A 20,005-nucleotide genomic window follows, 5' to 3' on the forward strand; every position below is an offset into this window, starting at 1 on the left:
TCCTGGCCAGATTAACAAATCCACATCATATGTTTACCTTTGTTCTTATTACTCAATGCAACATGGTGAACTTTCAACAAAAAAAATTAGAAGGCACACCTAAAGGCAAGAAAAAACAGTCTGTAGAGATAAAGCAGGAATCAGAACCAGACTCAGATGTTACAGATATGCGAATTATCAGCTAAGGAATATAAAAAAACCATGATTAATATGTTAAGGGCCATAATGGAAAAAATAGACATCATGTAAGAGCACAGGAGATACATAAAGCAGAGAGACACTAAGAAAAGATCAAAAGGAAATGCTAGGCATAAAAAACACTATAACAGAAATGAAGAATGCCATTGATAGGCTTATCAATAGAATGGGCACTGCTGGGGAAAGAATCAGTGAGGCAAAAATAGGTCAATAGGAACTCCCTAAAGTGAAATATAAAGAGAAAAAATAATGAGAAAACAAAAACAGAGCATCCAAGAATGGTGGGACATTTTAAAAAGGTATATGATTTATCTATCATTGGAATACCAGAAGAAGAAGGAAGAAAAAAGAAGAAATATGTGAAGTAATAATGGCCAAGAATGTTACAAAATCAATGACAGACTTTAAAATATAGATCCAGGAACCTCAGAAAATATCAAGCAGAATGAATGATAAAGTAAGTAAACCGTGCACATTATATTTAAAAACTGCAGAAAACCAAAAACTAAGAGAAAATCTTGGAAGAAGCAAGAGCTTGGAGGGGAAAATAAAAACTTACCTATAGAAGAACAGAATAAGAATTATGGCAGACTTCTCATCACCATGCAAGCAAGAAAAGAGTAGAGTAAAATATTTTAAAAGTTGAAAGAAAAAAAATACCAACTGACCTATAATTATATATCTGTGAAATTAACCTTCAAAACTGAAGGACAAATAAAATAAATACCTTCTCAAACAAATACTAAGGTTATTCATTGCCAACAGACCTGAAACTCAGATCTACATAAAGAAAGGAAAATAATGATAAAAGGAAAAAAATGAAGGTAAAATAAGGATCTTTTATTTTTCTTATTCCTCATTGATCTAAAAGAAACTGTATAAAGTAACAGTAGGAACAACATGCTGGGTGATAATGAAACAGGAAGTTTTCCCTGATGCCTTCGTGGTGGTGGGGGAATTGGAGTGCTGGTGCTGGAGCTAGTTGGCGGCTTTGGTCAGCTTCACTTGGCTTTACTCTGCTTCACTTGGCTTTACTCGGCTTCACTCGCTCAGATCTGCTGCCCTCTACCCCTTGCGGGAGGGGGAGCACAGCTGAGCCAGTGCAGGAGCCAAGACGAGTGCTTCTGGGCACTGCCAGGAGCCAAACTCCATGCGGGCCATGGCAACACCTAGTGAGGGAGTACCTGCAACCCCTCAAAGCCCCAGAAGTAATGTTACAGTCAGTACTCTTTTAGCTTTGCCATCCATGGATGGCTTAAGTGTTTAACAGTTCAGTGGACCCTTTGCCTGTTCACAAGTTCAGAGAGTGTGATAGCCTTGTGTATCCTGAGCTCTTGTCCTGCGTACAGGAAAGATTAGGTTGCATGAATGAATTGAAGGACAGTAAGTGTGGGGGATTTTATTGCTGATGGAAGTGGCTCTCAGCGGGAAAGGGAGCTGGAAAGAGGATGGAGTGGGAAAGTAGTCTCCCCTTGAAGTCTCTCTGGCTAGACTCTTCTCCAAAGTCCCACTGTCAAGCCATTCCTCTGAAGTCAAGCTGCTTCTCTCCAACGTTCAGCTGCTGTTTCTCCTCTCCATGTTTGGCTGCTTCTCCTTCTCTGCCAGCTGGGTCAGGGGTTTTTATGGGTATAGGATTTGGGGCAGGGCAGGCCATGGGTGGTTTTGGAAAAGGCAACATTCAAGTGAGAAAACAGGAATGTATGTTCTCACTTTGGGCCGTGCTTCCAGGCTTGAGGATGGGGCCTTCGCTGGGGACCCTGCCCTTTTCTGCCTAGAATTTTTCTGCCTCCTGTTCCTACCAATAATACCATATGGATAAGGGAAATGAATGACTGCAATGTTAAAAGAGATAGGAGAAAGTATTTGGGAATACTCTATTACAAAGTACCTGTACTGCAAAGAAAACAGTGTAGTGTTATTTGAAGGTGGACTTAGATTAGTTAAAAATGAATACTGCAAACTGCGGGACAACTAAAAAGGATTCTAAAGAGAGATATAAGTGAAATGTTAAGAGATAAGATTAAATAGAATCATAAAATGTTCATTTAAAACCAGAAGAAGAAGAAAAATAGGACGGGGAAGAAAGAATAAAGTCAACAGTTAGAAACAGTTACAAACAAGGTGGAATATAACTATGTCAGTAGTCACTTTAAATGTGAATGGTGTAAACATCCATTAAAAGACAGTTCAGAGTGGATAAAAAACGAAACTTAGTTTAGAAAAGCAAGACTTCCTCCCATCTCTTATGACATGGCAGTTATTCATTTTCCTTGTCCATATTGAAATTATCACCCAGTATGTTGTTACTATTGTTACTTTAAACAGTTTCCTTTAGATCAGTGGGGAATATGAAAAATAAAAGATTCTTATTTTACTTTCATCTTTTCTTTTATGATTTTTTAAGGCAAGCTATGCATTGTCTGTAAGAAACTCACTTTAAATATAAAGAATAGGTAAGGTAAAAAGGAGCGAGATGGAGAAAGATATACCATATAATCACTAACCAAAAGGAAGCTGAAGTAGCTGTATACATTTCAGAGAAAACAAACTTCAGAGCAATAAACATCAGGGATTTAAAAAGGTTGGGGGAGCATTACATACGTATTTGGCAGTCAATTCTCCAAAAAGTCTTATCAATCCTAAATATATGAACTTAACAACAAAGTATCAAAATACTTGAAGCAAAAGCTGACAGAAGTGAAATGAAAAACAGCCAACTCCACTATTATAGTTGAAGACTTCAACACTCTTCTTTCAATAATTGATATAGATTAAGCAGGCAGAAAATCAGTGTAAGTAGGTAATTGACCTGAGCAGTACTATCAATTTGATGTAATTAGCATTCATTAAATGCTCCATTTAACAAGAGCAAAATATACATTTTTTTCTTCAGCTTATAGGAGCATTTACCAAGATAGACCACATTCTTGGCCATAAACCACATTTAACAAATCTTTTAAGATAGTAATCATGCAAAGTATGTTCTTAGACTACAGTGGAATTAAACTAGAAATCAGTAACAGGAAGAAAGCTGGAAATTAGTTAAAGAACATATTTCTAAATAACACATGGGTCAAAGAAGCCTCCAGAGAAATTTTAAAATATTTTAAGCTAAATGATAATCAGAGTACAGTTTATCAATTTTTTTTTGCAATTTAGTAAAGGCAGTGCTTAGGGGAAATTTATAGCCTTAAATGCAGGTTCTAGAAAAGAAGAAAGATCTAAAATCAGTAATAAAAAGTTCTACCTTAGAAAACTAGAGAAAGAAGAGCAATTTAAGCCCAATGCAAGCAAAAGAAAAGAAATAATAAAAATTAGAGCAGAAATCATTGAAATGGAAAACAATAAATTCAACAAAACTAAAAGTTATTTGAAAAAAATAAATAAAATTGATAAAATTCTAGCCAGGATAAGGAAGAATAAAAGAAGATAGAAATTACCAATATCAGAAATGAAAGATGGATCTTCTTCACTGAAGCATCCATGGGCATTAAAAAGATAATAAAGGAATACTATGAAAAACTTTATGCCCCAAAATTTGATAAATGAAATGGACCAATTCCTACAAACTATCAAAACTTACACAAGTGTAAATAAATCTGAATGCTTCTATAGCTTTTAAAAATTGAATCGATTATTTAAAAATTATAATTAATAATTTTCAGAAAAAGAAAGAATCAGGACCAGATGAATTCACTGGTGAAATATACAAAATAAAAATCAGTTCTAAGATAACAAACAACCCTATTAAAAAGTAGGCAAAAATCTGAATAGCCATCTTATTAAAGATATAGATGTCAAATAAGTATATGAAAAGATATTCAATATTATTTGTCAAATTGCAAATTAAAAACAATGAGATACCACTGTACACTTACTAGAACGGCCAAAACCACACACACACACACACACACACACACACTCACTCTGACTGCCGATTGGTGACAAAGATGCAGAGCAACATAAACTCTTTTTCGTTGCTGGTGGTAATGAAAATGGCACAACCACTTTGGAAGACAGTTTGGCAATTTCTTGAAAAATTAAATATAGTTTTACCACACAATCCAGCAATCACACTTGTAGGTATTTAACCGATTTAAAAACAATATCCACACAAAAACCTGCACATGAAAACTGCACATTATAGCTTCCTTCATAATTGCCAAAAACTGGGAGCAACCAAAATGTCCTTCAGTAGGTGAATGGATAAACTGTGATATATCCATTGACATGGCTAGGCTTTGTGTCACCACCCAAATCTCATCATGAATTGTAATCCCCATAATCGCCATGTGTCAAAGAAGAAACCAGGTGGAGGTAATTGAATCATGGAGGTGTTTTCCTCCATGCTGTACTCATGATAGTGAGTTTTCACAAAATCTGATCTTTTTATAAGGGGCTCTTCCCCTTTTTGCTTGGCACTTCTTCCTGCCACCTTGTGAAGAAGGTGCCTTGGTTCCTCTTCACCTTCTGGGGTGATTGTAAGTTTCCCGAGGCCTACCCAGCCATGCTGACCTGTGAGTCAATCAAACCCCTTTCCTTTATAAATTACCCAGCCTCAAACAGTTCCTTATAGCAGCATGAAAACAGACTAATACATCCATATGATCAAATATTATTGAATTATATAAAAGAGCTATAAAGCCGTAAAAAGACATGGATAAATTTTAAATACATATTACTAAGTGATAAAAACACTGAAAAGTCTGTATACTTTATAATTGCAATTATATGACATTCTGGAAAAGGCAAAACTCACCAGTGGTAAAAAATATCATTAGGTGCCAAGGTTCAGGGAAACACAAGGGATTAATTAGGGTTGTGAAATTATTGGATACATGGCATTATGCATTTGTCCAAATCCACAGCACTTACAGCACAAAGAACAAGTCTTAATGTACGCAAACTTTAAAAAAACTCATTTAGAAGGTTGATGGATCTGAGGATGGAATGCAGGAGGTGAAAAAATAATATAACTGTAGTACAAATGTATGAAACAACCTACTGAAGCAAATGGAGTTGAAATGTGTTGACTTAAGTTACCTTGAAAATAAGTGGAGTCCGTAAGACTGGAGGCAAAAGAGTACTGTAGTCTAGTTGATAAAGTTATTTTCCATGGGAATAAAGTTGTTAACCTACCTACCAGGTTAACAATTCTGATATTTCTATATGTATATACTGAAATTGAACAAGTAAATAAGTTGATGGTGGATGGTGGGAGCCAGGTTTCTCTCTATTTGAGTAGGATTTACAGATAAGCAAGGGGAGGCAGCTAGAAGAAATCATGTAGTAATGCATTAGAGTTGGAAACCAGAATGAACTCATGCTTTGCTTATAGACACAGTTACATATGGAAATACTTATCGATAAGGGAATAGGCAAATGTTAGTATACACGTATATTTCCTTGCTCTCAGAAAAGAGGGCCTAGAAGCAACAACACCCCAGTAGATGAATGTACCCACTTGCCAGATCTTGATTTCTAAGACCATTCTCCAGTAAAAGGAACTAAGGCTCCTTGGAGAAATGGATGATTCTAAAAGGGCTGGGGCAGGAAATACACAAAGTGAGCATGGGGCATCTTGCAGTGCTAGAAAGTAAGGATGTGCTCAAACACATACACAGGTGTACACACATGCACACATACACAGTGATGGAGGTATATCAAAGGGACATAGGAGGAAGTTGATGGAGCTTCCCATGGTCAAAATGGAATAATTTGACCAACAAAATAAATAATGTAATGTTGTATAAATGCTACAGGCATTAAAAGAGTAATGTGTACATTAGAAACAACTTTATTACACAAAGTTGACAACTTAGTTGAAATAGACCATTTCTTGAAAGATGCAAACTACTAATATTCATTCGAGATGAAATTGATAACTCAGTAATACTCTGTTTATTGAAGACATTGTATTAGTATTTGTAATCTTCAAAAAAAATCAAAAACAAAAACGAAAAACAAAACACTGTCCCAGATAGTTCTGGGAAATTCTACAAAACATTTAAAGAAGAAATGATACCAATTCTCACAGTTTCTTCTGGAAAAATATAAGACAGAATACTTCTCAACTTATTTTGTGAAGCCAATCTTAACCTGCTACCAAAATCATGCAAAGATGGCACATGAAAATAAAACTACCAAGCAATGTATCTTTATGAACACAAACAGAAAAATCCTCAGTAAAATATTAGTAAGTTGAATCCAGCAATATATACAAGGAATATTACACCAAGACCAAAAGGGGTTCATTCTGATAATTCAAAGCTGGTTCAATATTTGAAAATTAATCTGTGCAACCCACCATATTAGTAGACTAAAAGGTAAAAACCACATGATTTTATCAACAAATGCTGAAAACACATTAGGTAAAATTCAGCATCCTCCTAAGATAACTCTTCACTAACCCAGGAAAAAAAAAGGAAACTTTGTTATCTCAATAAGGGGCATCTACAAAACAGTGTCTACAGCTAACATTTTAGTAGTTAATGATGAAAAACTGAATGCTTTCTTCCTAAGACTTGGAATAAGGCAAGAATGTTCATTGTCACCACCTTGTTCAACATTGCACTGTAATTCTTGACCAATGCAATAAGGCAAGACAAATAAATAAAAGGCATACAGATTAGAAATAAATAGTTCCTGTTGAAAGACGACATGACTGCCTACATAGAAAATTGCAAGAAATCTATAAAAAGAAAGTCTCCTAAAACTGAGTTTAGCAACAATAATATATAAAAATAATATATAGTAGCAATGCACAATGTATTAGTTTGGTACAAAAGTAATAGAGGTTTTTGCCATTGAAAGTAATGGTGAAAACCACAATTACTGTGTACCCATCTAATAAAACATTTTTAAAGAACTGTTTACAATAGCTCCAATTTTTAAAATACTTAGGTATAAATCTAACAAAATTATGTGCAAGATCTGTGTGTTGAAAACTGTAAAACACTGATGAAAGAAATTCAAAAGACCCAAGTAAATGAAGAGACATGCTATGATTATGGATTGAAAGACTCAATATGGTTAAGATGTCATTTCTTCCAATAAGCATAATCCAAATAAAATCCCAGCAAGATTATATTTGTAGACATAGATAAACTGATCTTAAAATTTATATGGAAAGGTGAAGAAACTGTAGTAGCCAAAACAACTTCGAAAAAAAGGAAAAAGGGCCGGGCACTGTGGCTTACGCCTGTAATCCCAACACTTTGGGAGGCTGAGGTGGGCGGATCACGAGGTCAGGAGATTGAGACCATCCTGGCTAACACGGTGAAACTTTGTCTCTACTAAAAATAATTAAAAAATTAGTTGGGTGTGGTGGCATGCATCTGTAGTCCCAGCTACTTGGGAGGCTGAGGCAGGAGAATAGCTTGAACCCAGGAGGCGGAGGTTGCAGTGAGTCGAAATGACACCACTGCACTCCAGCCTGGGCGACAGACTGAGACTCCGTCTCAAGAAAAAAAGGAAAAAAAAATAGAAGATTTACACTATCAGATTTCAGACTTACTAGAAAGCTATGGTAATCAAGACAGTATAGTATTGGTGAAAGAATTGACACATATATAGGTCAGTGAAAGAGAATAGAGAGTCCAGAAATAGACTCACACAAATATGGTCAATTGATTTTTGACAAAGGTGCAAATGCAATTCAACAGTAAATGGATATATAAATTGTGGTAATTCCATACAATAGAATTTAGCCATATAAATGAGTGAATATTAAGATACACAACATAGATAAATCACAATTGCCATACTATACTAAATGAAAGAAGCCAATCTGAAAATGTTGCATAGTCTATAAGTCCACTTATATATAACATTCTGGAAAAAGCAACACTATTACCCTAAAACCTTTATTTGAATAGCAGGAGTTATAGTCATGTCATTTGTCCTCTACATGGAGCACATACATCATTTACACATTAAATATGTTTTCATGTTTTTCTTTTATTTAACCTTTAAACTCTAAAGTACATAGTTCTGCTTGGCCCCAAGATGATTGTAAGAAACATGGACAATGAAATTTTATGGCTATAGGTGACCGTCTTAATTAAAACCTTCTCATAGCAGATTTTCAGACCTGGGACAATATATCCAAGAATGAATCTTACCCACCACTATTTTTTCACCCCAACTTCTTCACTCTTATTTGGAAAATAACTGCATTTAAAAATAAAATGTTTACTTCATGTGGTAATCAGTGTCTTGCAGTACAAGAAACCCTGATCTAGGAGTTTGAAGACCTAGGTGACTTTGGGCAAGTCACTTAATGTTTATTTTTTTGCATCTTAAAATAAGGATAATAATACCTGTGCTGCTTACTTTATTTGTAAGGATCTCAGGTGCATTACAGTAATTTCACAATGGTTTTACAGAGTAAATCACTTTATATGTGGTAAAGTGCTTGGTAAATGTGTCATCACTATTATTAAATAAAAGAAACCAATATTTTGTGGTATTTTGTGGCAATTAAAGCTGGTTCAACTCTGAAAATTTCTATAATTTTAAAAATTAATGCAGAATGAAGGAGGAATAAAATCAACCTCATGAAGTTGATTACTCTCTAGTTTTAAAATCTTATTTAACTACAAGATAAGCTATTCTGGTAAATTCTCGGTGCATGGCGAGACATTTAGTGCGAATTAAAGTTGTGGAAACACCGCTAGGAAGAATAACAAGCAATATACTTCTTAAAGTTAATTGCAGTTATGAAGGAATTCATAGTTTTAGTTAAAACTGCAGTTGTTTCTTTCTAGCAGTAGATGCCAGTAGAGTTCTTCTTTTTATTTTTATTTCTTAATCAAAAATCAAATATCCGAAGTACTTCTATAGCAATAGCTTCCTGGTCACATTACCACATATAGAAACATTGCTTTAAATATTAAATATTCTATTTTCTGGAAGGACTTGATAACAAATTGAAACAATTTTATTTTTAAAACAGTGCAGATTTAAAATACGGTGTTTTCAAGATACTCATCTAGTGAAGTTTACTCTTTTTGCTTTAGTAATTTTGTTTTAAAGCTTATGCATTGTTTTAAATAAAGTAATCTTAGTGTTCTAGTTAGGAATCTGCAACTTCTGTACTTGAGCAACATTGAATATAAATAAAAAATCTGGCTAGATGTGTTAAAAATGAATACGGTCCAGCTGAAATGTTACGATTAGTTTGTGTATTTGGCAATGGAATACCATGAGTGTAATACTTTGGGGAGGTTAATATGTCAGAGAGGTGAATGATTAAAGGGGGTAATTGGAAGCGGGGAAAACAAGAAGTTAAGAAGTCCACATTGGCACTGAGTAAAAATGTAATTCAAAGAATGAATAAAATTTAGTAACAAATAGAAAAAAGGAGAAGTTCAATGATAACAGTTCTATTACTCTTGTCTCTATATATGAGCAACTTGGTGCTTCTTGGATTATCTATAAATATGGTCCCATCATAAATAAAATTCAAACATTTTCAAGTATTCGGTGATTCTACTTAGACCTTTAAATTGTTAAAAATGAGTGAATACTTTTTTCTTTTAACATGTTTATTGAGTATGTAATACATGCATTTCATTTATGAATTCAAGTAACTCACAATTTAGGGTCATATAAATTCATAAACAGTACCTTTTAACATAATATTATGAGGTCAGTGAAAACAAAGCAGCAAAGTTTGTTTTCCTAGGAAGTATGTGGCAGACTTCACTGAAGAGGTGACATTTGAACTAAGCCTTGAAGATGATTAGAATTTCCTTCAGTAGAGCAAATCAAGGGAATTCAGTAATTTTATCCACTTCTTCCCTTACAGAATCAGTCCATGCTCTGTAGATATTTGTTGAAGACTACAGACATTTAATAAGTGTCTGTTTTGTGTAAGGCACTACCAGATGTTAAGAAACAAATTATTGTTATGCACACATAATATTTATACATAAAGCTACAAATTTAAGAATTTTGTCATATAGATGCTGTTGCATATTTGTTTAGATTGATAAAAATTTTATTACACAAAACAAAGTATACAGAAATGAGCTGTTACATGGCAAAATTCATTGGTCAGTGTTTTGTTAACTGTTATTCACACATAATATTTATACATAAAGCTATAAATTTAAGTTTATCTTATAGATACTGTTACATACTTGTTTAGATTGATATGAATTCCATTACACAAAGTATACACAAATGAACTGTTAAATGGCAAAATTCACTAATCAGTGTTTTCTTATTGGCCTTTTATGTAGTCCTAATTTGATTACATTATTGTTCCTATTTATTTTACTTATCAGTATTGTTTCTATTTTTTATGTTTGTCAAACAGTTGGCAGTAAATCTGAAGTAAGATTTTTTTAGATAGATTGTTTTAGATAGACCTTTTTCTTTCTTTCCTTTCCTTCCCTTCCCTCCCCTCCCCTCTGCTTCCAAAGAGAACCACGGAAATTTCTTATCCTTTAGTGTCAAAAAAACAAGTACTCAAAATTTTTGTTAAATGCCACAGGTTACTTTCTTTCCTGAAAATTGACAAGGCAAGTTTTACTTACTTTTAATCAAAAGAGATGTTTTGGCCAGGCGCGGTGGCTCACACTTGTAATCCCAGCACTTTGGGAGGCCAAGGCGGGCGTATCGCTTGAGGCCAGGAGTTTGAGACAACTCCTGACCTGGCCAACATGGAGAAACCCCATCTCTACTGAAAATACAAAAATTAGCCGGGCATGGTGGTGCGCGCCTATAATCCCAGCTACTCGGATGTCTGAGGGGCGAGAATCGCTTGAACCTAGGAGCGGAGGTCGCAGTGAGCAGAGGTCGCACCACTGCACTCCAATCTGGGAGACAGAGTGAAACAACGTTTAAAAAAAAATAGAGAGGTGTTTCTAAGTGAGATCACTAAATCAGGGGTTTAGGTAAGTAGTAGTCTTCAGTGGTAAGGTTTTAAAATTAACATGTCTCAGCCAACTAGAAGGAACTTTTTTCTCTCAATTGAAATTTCTTGCTATGGTGGATTTTATATAATTTAAATCTTGTATTTTGTTCTTTTCAAATTTTAGAATGTTTTAAAATGTACCCCTGGTAATAGACATATGTCAGCAGATTATAAGTTTGATAAGCAATACTGACATACTAAGTGTATGTAGTTCCTGTATGTATTAGGCCTAAATCAATGAATTAGAAACATTCAATTTTTTAAAGTGCTATTTCACATTGTTTTATTTATACGTGTTATAAATTTGTTTTGCAAGAGTTTTTTCATACCCATTTCATACTAGTTTTTTTTTATGAAAAGTTAGCTGCTTATAAGGATTCATAAAATCTGTATATTAGTTGATTTCCTAGAAAAAATACAACCTGTCTTTAGCATGTTGTGTTTGGAGGACAGCTTGGCCTTCAGTTGTTTGCATAGACTTGTCATACATGTTTAACTAGTTTTCTTTTTAAAGAATGTTTAGCCTACTATATATATAAAGCTTTATATTTAATGCTCTCATTAGCCTATATATTAATATTAAAACACCCAAACATAAAGCCTTTTAGGCAGATATTGCAAGTTTTTAAAATCCTCAACTCTAGCTGAAAAGTGTTTTGCTAAGAAAAGCTCAGTAATGTGCTGTTTTATATTAACAGGAAACAGAACAGCAGTAGTGGTTTGAATACCCTGCAAACAGGAAGTTTGACACATGCATAGCTCTTAGCTTCTGTGTAAGAAGTTGTGAGCTCCTTCTGGAAACATTTGCAGTTACATTAAGTAAAGTGTAAATGCACATGAATGGCAGCTTATAGAGAACCACCTTGTAACCAGTATACAGGTACAACTACAGCTCTTCAGAAATTGGAAGGTTTTGCTAGCCGGTTATTTCATAGACACTCTAAAGGTACTGCACATGATCAGAAAACAGCTCTGGAAAATGACAGCCTTCATTTCTCTGAACATACTGCCTTATGGGACAGATCAAGTAAGTTTTGTTTTTTAAATGATACATTATAACTAGCAACTAAAATGGTAATTGGAGTTTTACAATCAAACATAAAGAACCCTCTTTTGTTTGTTGTTTTCTGATTTTCACAAGGACATTTTGCAAGATGAAGTTGAAAGAATTCCATAAAAACTTGATTATAAGTTGAGCTGAATCATTCAGCTTTCATCATTGTATGGTTTTATTTTTGACTAAGTTCAATATCAGTGACAAGATTTTCTATAAAATTCTTACATCATTTCTAATGTACTTTTTTTTGTTGTTCTTACATAAAAATGAAATACTTAAGTTTCAGAAACAACCATCTGTTTACTTCTTAAAATGTCTTGTATTTATAAGCTTTAAACTTTGAAAGGGGCAACAAGACTCTTGAATTTATAATTACATTTCTATTGTGTTTGCCATGGTTTTATTTTTAAATGCATGTGAGAAAGTTATTTCAGTTTTACAAACAGGAATTTCTAAAATAAAACATAATTATTCTATCTAAATTCTTACACTTATAACATTATGGATATCAAAAACTTTATAATTATATTTTATGTTATTTATACATATGACTCAAATGCAGGAAAAGTTGGTTATGCATGAATCACATTCTTTCAGGCATGTTAAAATGTTTGAACTTGCAGCTTTGCTAAAATGGTGCTGGGGAACCATTTTTGGTGCCATACACTCTAAAAGATAAATTGCACATATAAACAATACTAGTGCCGCCATTCTACATCTCACCTTGGACCCTCCTCAAGGTATTTCTGTGACTCCAATTAGAGGAACAATAGAATTACCCTTGAAACTTTTGCCCTCTTTGGTGTGTTTGTTTGATCATCAAATAGCACTAGCGTTTGACTCTTTCTGTTTATGTATTTGGTAGCAGTTAAGGAAGAAAACTCAGCTTAACAACCACAACAGCAAAATCAAGAATGGCTTACAAAATTTACTCCTAGGTTTATACAGCACCTTGACAGTGTTATAGAAGCTTATTTGAATTAATTTTTTACTAAATCAGAAATTTTTTTACATTCTTCAAACTATTTTTGGGAGATTGAGGAAGAACATGTATTTGTGCATTTTTTCCACTTAAAAGGTTTTGGGTTATTTATAGTCTTTACTGTATAGCAAGTTGATGGATGAGGAATATGAATATATATCTTCAAGTTAATGAACTGTTGAATATTAAAATAGTGGTATAATATTAAACTTTACCATGTAACAAAAGCTTGTTAATTATTGTCCTTGCCCTATTCTTTTAAATTGCAGTCTTTTAAATCCTTTTGGAAATTATTTTTATGCATTTCAAGTATGTTTTAATTTAAAGTTAAATGAGGAATTAAGACAGAATTGAATTAATTTCTGTTTCATTAATACCTGCTCTTCATATAGTGGGTGTTTAGTAAAAGTGTCTCAAATAAATGAATGTTAGGGGTTTTTAATAATTAAAAGTTATGTTTGAACTAGACTTTCACCACTTTTTAAATGTATGGGATCTGTGATGCTTTCTAAAACATATTTTAAAATCTAGTAATGGAAAATAGTATCATGAGCCATGATTTCTATTGGATAAAATGCTGTTTTGTTTTTTTTTTATTGTGAAGTCAAAACAAATAGGATTCTTGTACACAAATAAAATTAGGAGCAAACCATGTAGCGCTGCAAATAATATGCATGATGTAAGAAATACTTAAAGAGTAACTGAATGTTCATTAATTAAGCATTCCTCTACTTGACTCTCCTTTTTATATCCCTGAATACCATAATAGAGATAATAATTTTATGTCTAAGGATGAGTATGGTAGCATGAAGCTATAATTTCCTATTATGAAATGTATTATTGTAGAGGAGAAAACACTGATAGAGCTGAAATAGAGGAATCCGATCATTTCAAAATTCCAAGGTTTATTTTTGTGGTGAAAACACAATTTTTATTTATTTGGCGAATGAGTTATAGAAGGAGTTCTGACTGTACAAAGTTTCATATGAACCACATTCTTCAAAGCTACTTAAAGCAGTTTACTTGCATGACTCATTTGACAAGGGAATGTAATGTCTCCTGATGATAAACACTGAATATGTTTGTTCCTAAAGTGTTTTTATAATGAAATAAACTAAGCATAGAAACTACATCAATTTACAAAAAAAATTCATAAACCTTTGTATAAAGATCAGTTACCAATTTAGGAGACATGAAATGCAGCATGCTTCAATCCAAGTTTCTTTCGTGTCCAGTGACATTATGTATAGGAAGAAACACAGAACAAAGGCCACATAGTGGTCTCAGGTGTTTCATCTTTTACTATTAAACTAAGTAACAGAAATTCCTGTTTGATTAAATAAATATGTAACAGCTAATTGCATGCACATATAAATACATGAAGTTCAAAGAAAAGCATGGAGGAATTCTGCTTTTTGTTCCAACTCAGAATGAATGAGAGCATTGACATGCGTTAAGTTCTCTTTCTAGCAAATTTATTATAGTTAGCTTTTTAATCTTCCTTTGATCATAAATGTGTAGAGTTATACAATGCTGACTTAATGAAGGTCTAACTACAGTATTTTAAGAAGCAAATAGGTCAATACCATCAAATACTTTTTCTTTCCCTTTTCCTATGAATTGACAGGCTATTTCTCTTGTAAATACAAATCCATTTTAGTAAATCTTAGATTTAAATATATTAAACAAATGAGCAGTTTTGATTATGGATGTCCTCTAGCAAAATCATAAAGTGGTTACAGTAGACCACTTCAGTCAGTTTTACCTTTGCAAATTTTATACAATCTCTCAGACAGTTTACCTCCTATTTGTTAGCCCATTGAATCTGTATCATTTTAACTTCTCAGCTAAAAGACTTTCCACCTTTGTCTTTTTATCAGCTTTTTCCACTTGAAACTATTCCATAAGCTTCTTGATAATAGTCAATTTCTACTCATTTGGTAAAACTTTTTTGAGTATTTACTATATCATAGTAAGTAAGCAAGTTTCCAGGAAAAATAAGATCTAGTTCTTACCCCCAAAAAGAAGAGCAAACATAATATAATATTCAAGGCATAATGAAATAGTTGCTTTAAAATGTCTAAGCTTACTGTGGAAGCTAAGTGTAAGAAAAAAGTTGTTACTAAAGAGAAAATGGGGGACTTCAAAAATATTAAAGAATGAATAGAATTTTGAGACCTAGAGAAGAAGGTTATTTTAAGAAAATAACATACACAAGTATTTGAAAATATGAACATTTAGAACTTACTTAAAAGGTTTAGTAAGATACTGTCTAGAAAATTAGGTTCTGGATTTAAACTTTAAAAGTTTTCTATTAGACATCCAGAATTTTGTACTACGCTGTATTAGTGGGGAGCCAATGCAGTTTTTTAAAGTGGAAAATAATATAATGCAACCTTTGTTAAAAGAGCCTAAAGATTTTAACTAGCATAATACAGGATAAGTTAACTTACTTTACTACAGAGAAATGTGTATAGCTACTATACATCTTCCGTTTTTGCTGGGCATTTAATTAGAACTAACGCTTTTGACGTGACAGTCAGCATGGCAATGAATAGTCAGATAATGGATTCCTTTTACAACAGTGCTTGTTCAAGTTGCTGCTTCTGTCTGGAATTCTCTTTCTTCACTTCTACCAGTGGTGAGATTTGCCCATACTTTAGGCATCCTCTCAGGTATCATCTCTGTAACAAAACCACCAATGTATCCTATTCATCTATCCTTCATCCTTCTTAGAGTCTGTGCTCTTCCTTATGTTCTTATATCATCTTATACTTAACTTTTATTGTGGTTTATTTATAGTATTTATATGGTATAGTTTGTATACTATATATATTATAGTTTATAATATTTAAAATGCATTACTATTAATCCTTATGTATCTGTCTCTCATGTTTGATTTTGAACTCCTTGAAGGCAAATAACTTGTCAGTTTATTTCAGTATTACTAGCATAATTTTCAATAAATCTTGAGTTATTTGTTAAATTAACATTAAACATCACTGCAGTATTACACAAATGAGCTTCTTACTAATTTGTGCTATTGTGATCTTTGCAATTTATTTTAAAAGCCCATGGCCATTAACCAAAAGCAGTCAAATGCTGACCTGGCTCTAGTAAATACCAATTTTCAGTGTTACCTGTGTATTTTTATCATGATTTCCAATAAAAATTTAAGTAACAAGCAGACTTTATAGTAAAACTAAAATAGTTGGGATATTAAATGATGTTGAAATCAGGAAATCATTCCATGAGCCATTTAGCAATGCAAGTACTATATCAACTGTACTAACATAACGAGAAGCTTTTACTTGCTTGTGCTTTGCAAAAATAGCCATATGACAGAGTTAGAAGACAGCTTGCTACTCAAAGTGTGGTCCCTGTCCAGCATTATTAGCATCTCCTGGGAGCTTGTTAGGAGGAAGAATCCCAGGTCCCACCTAGACCTACTTAGTCAGAATCAGCATTTTAACAAGATTTCCCAGCTGATTTATATGCACATTAAGGTGTGAGAAGCACTTTTTCCCTAATAACATTTTAATATGATTTCCAAATGTATATCTTCACTGGAGAAAATTTTGAAACTACAGGAAAAAACAAAAAGGTAAAAAAAAGTATACATAATTCTGCCAAAAGGTAATGACTGTTAATTTTTGTATATATACTCTATTTTGTGTATAGACACACAAATTTCTACCAGCTCCAATTTTTTTTTTTTAAACAGAGTCTTACCGTGTCACCCAGGCTGGAGTGCAGTGGTGGGATTTCGACTCGCTGCAGCCTCTGCCTCCCAGGCTCAAGCGATCCTCCCATCTCAGTTTCCCAAGTAGCTGGGACTATAGGCATGTGCCACCATACCCGGCTAATTTTTTGTATTTTTGGTAGAGGTGGAGTTTCACCATGTTGCCCAGGTCGATCTTGAACTCCTGAACTCAAGTGATCTGCCTGCCTTGGCCTCCCAAAGTGCTGGGAATACAGGCCTGAGCCACTGCACCCAGCCCAGCTCCAGAATTTGGATCTTTCAAAACATAATGTTTAGTTAACATTTTTCTTTATAAAGAGTTGTTCTACAATACTATTTTGTATTAAATCATAAGGATATACTATAATTTATTTAACCAATCATTGGCCATCTAGGCTGTTTTTAATGTTTTGCTATTAAAAAATGCCATGATAAACATCTTTATAACTAAATATTTGTACATATTTAGGATTATTTTTATATTTTATAGGATTAATTTGAAGAAGTTATGACCATTTTAAGGCTTTTGCATTAAATTAATTGAATCCCAGATAAACATGCATATCTTTTTGGAGTTAATTATTATAATAATTATTTTTTCATAGATTATAGCACTTGAGAATGTGTGAAAATAATTATATAGCTACTATCCTTAATGATATTTTTAAAAACAAATTTAAGGCCAGGTGTGGTGGCTCACGCCTGTAATCCCAGCACTTTGGGAGGCTGAGGTGGGCAGATCCCTTGCAGTCAGGAGTTCAACAACAGCCTGGCCAACATGGTGAAACCCTGTCTCTACTAAAAATGCAAAAATTAGCCAGGCTCCATCTACAGGTGTGGTGGCGCACACCTGTAATCCCAGCTACTTGGGAGGCTGAGGCAGGAGAATCACTAGACCCCAGGAAGCAGAGGCTGCAGTGAGGTGAGATTGCACCACTGCAGTCCAGCCTGGGTGACAGAGTGAGACTCTATCTCAAAATAAATTAAAATAAAATAAAATAAAGAAAACACATTTAACATTGTAAAATTTATTCTCAAAACAGTATATTGATATTTTTAAAAATTAAAAATATAATGGCCCATTATACTTCCTTCTGTTACAACTACCAGGGTCATGGTAAGAACATTATATGTTTGTCCCCTCCAAATCTCATGTTGGAATGTGATCCCCAGTGTTGGAGGTGGGGCCTAATGGGAGGCGTTTGGGTCATGGGGGAGGATCTCTCATGAATGGCTTGGTGTCCTCCCAATGGGTAATGAGCTGGTTCTTGCTTTATTAGTTCATGCAATAACTGGTTGTTTTTTTAAAACAAACATGGCACTTCCCCCTCTCTCTTGCTCCCTCTCTTTGCCTGTGACATGCCTGCTCCCTCTTTGCCTTCTGCCATCATTGAAAGCTTCCTGAGGCCCTCATCAGAAGCAGATGTTGGCAGTATGCTTCTTCTACAGTCTGCAGAACCATGAGCCAAAATAAATCTCTTTATAAATTATTCTGCCTTAGGTATTTCTTTATAGTAATGCCAAAATAGACCAGTCCATAACAAAAATCTGAATGTGAAAAATATGGATTTGAGAATTTAACTCCATTCTTAATAAGTTGACACTGGAAAGTTTATTTCTTCCTCCCTCCCCCTCAGCTTTATTAAGGTATACTTGACAAATAAAATTGCGTATATTTATAATGTACAACATGATGGTTCAATATAAGTATACATTGTGAAATGACTAAAACAAATGAATATCCACCTCACATAGTTACTTTTTCATGGCAAAAAATTTAAGATTGAATCTCTTAGCAATTTTCATGTAGTCATACCTCAGAGATACTGCAGGTCCAGTTCCAGACCACCACAATACAACTAAAGTCACAGTAAAGCAAGTCACACATTTTTTGGTTTCCCAGTGCATTTAAGTTATGTTTACTCTATAGTCTATTCAGTGTGCAATAACATTATATCTTTTTAAAAGTACATATCTTAATTTGAAATTATTTTATTGCTAAAAAAATACTAATGATCATCTCAGCTTTCAGCATTTCCCAATTTTTTTGCTGGTGGAGGGTCTTGCATTGATGTTTGCCTGCTGATTGATCAAGGTGATGGTCGCTGAAGGTTGGGATGGCAGTGGCAATTTCTTAAAATAAGACAACAAAGTGACACACTTGACTGACTCTTATTTTCATAAAAGATTTCTCTGTAGCATGTGATGTTTTTGGTAGCATTTTACCCACAGTAGAACTTCTTTTAAAATTGGAGTCAGTTCTCTCAAACCTTGTTACTGCTTTACCAACTAAGTTGATGTAATATTCTAAATTCTCAGGTGTCATTTCAATAATCTTCACAGCATCTTCACCAGAAATAGATTCCATCTCAAGAAACTACTTTCTTTGCTCATCTGCAAGAAGCAACTCCTCACTCGTTATAGTTTTATCAGGAGATTGCAGCAATAGAGTCACATCTCCAGGCTCCACTTTTAATTCTAATTATCTTGTAATTTTTTACCACATCTGCAGTGACTTTCTCCACTGAAATTTTAAACCGCTCAAACGCATCTATGAGAGTTGGAAACAACTTCTTCCAAACTCCTGTTGATGTTGATATTCTGACCTCCTCCCATAAATCACAATGTTCTTACGGCATCTGGAATGGTAACTCCTTTTCAGAAGGTTTTCAATTTACTTTGCCCAGATCCATCAGAGGAATCACTATCTGTGACACCTTTAGCCTTATAAAATATATTTCTTAAATAATAAGACCTGATCCATGCCTGCAGAATGGATGTTGTGTTATCAGGCATGAAAACAACGTTCATCTCCTTGTACATCGAGCTCTTGGGTGATCAGGTGCATTGTCAATTAGCACTAATATTTTAAAAGGAATCTTTTTCTGAGTGGTTCCCAATGGTGGGCTTAAAATAGTAAACAATGCTGCAAACAGATATGGTGTCATCTAGCCTTTCACATTCCATTTATAGAGTACAGGTAGAGTAGATTTAGCATAGTTTTTGAGGGCACTAAGAGTTTCTAAATGGTAAATGAATATTGGCTTCAATTTGAAGTCACCAGATGTATTAGCCCCTAGCGAGAGTCAGCCTGTCCTTTGA

General features: G+C 33.9%; 1 protein-coding gene across 8 annotated transcripts in view, besides 1 other annotated feature; it reads left to right on the top strand.

Moving 5' to 3' along the window:
* The window catches only part of PRKACB (protein kinase cAMP-activated catalytic subunit beta), a 160,420-nt gene that overhangs the window by 54,321 nt on the left and 86,094 nt on the right, over positions 1 to 20,005 (top strand). For 4 of the 8 annotated variants that reach the window (XR_007061945.1, NM_182948.4, XM_005271020.3 and 1 more), the window contains exon 1: positions 11,872 to 12,149. The exons of 3 other annotated variants lie outside the window; for them this stretch is intronic. Coding sequence is in view for 3 of the 5 variants with exons in the window: in NM_182948.4 (NP_891993.1) it covers positions 11,963 to 12,149 (187 nt within the window). In the remaining 2 variants the exon portion in view is untranslated. Of the gene's footprint in view, positions 1 to 11,871; positions 12,150 to 12,876; positions 12,920 to 20,005 lie in introns of those variants that run through there. One more of the 8 variants, XM_047424681.1, reaches the window with a different exon arrangement.
* Positions 11,891 to 11,940: a silencer, noted in NCBI's record as "silent region_1016". NCBI's record gives its function as "represses an Ori minimal core promoter by ATAC-STARR-seq in GM12878 lymphoblastoid cells {active_cell/tissue: GM12878}" and the evidence as "EXISTENCE:reporter gene assay evidence [ECO:0000049][PMID:35858748]".

This window comes from Homo sapiens, chromosome 1 (assembly GCF_000001405.40).
Source record: "Homo sapiens chromosome 1, GRCh38.p14 Primary Assembly".
Taxonomy (NCBI): Eukaryota; Metazoa; Chordata; class Mammalia; order Primates; family Hominidae; genus Homo; species Homo sapiens.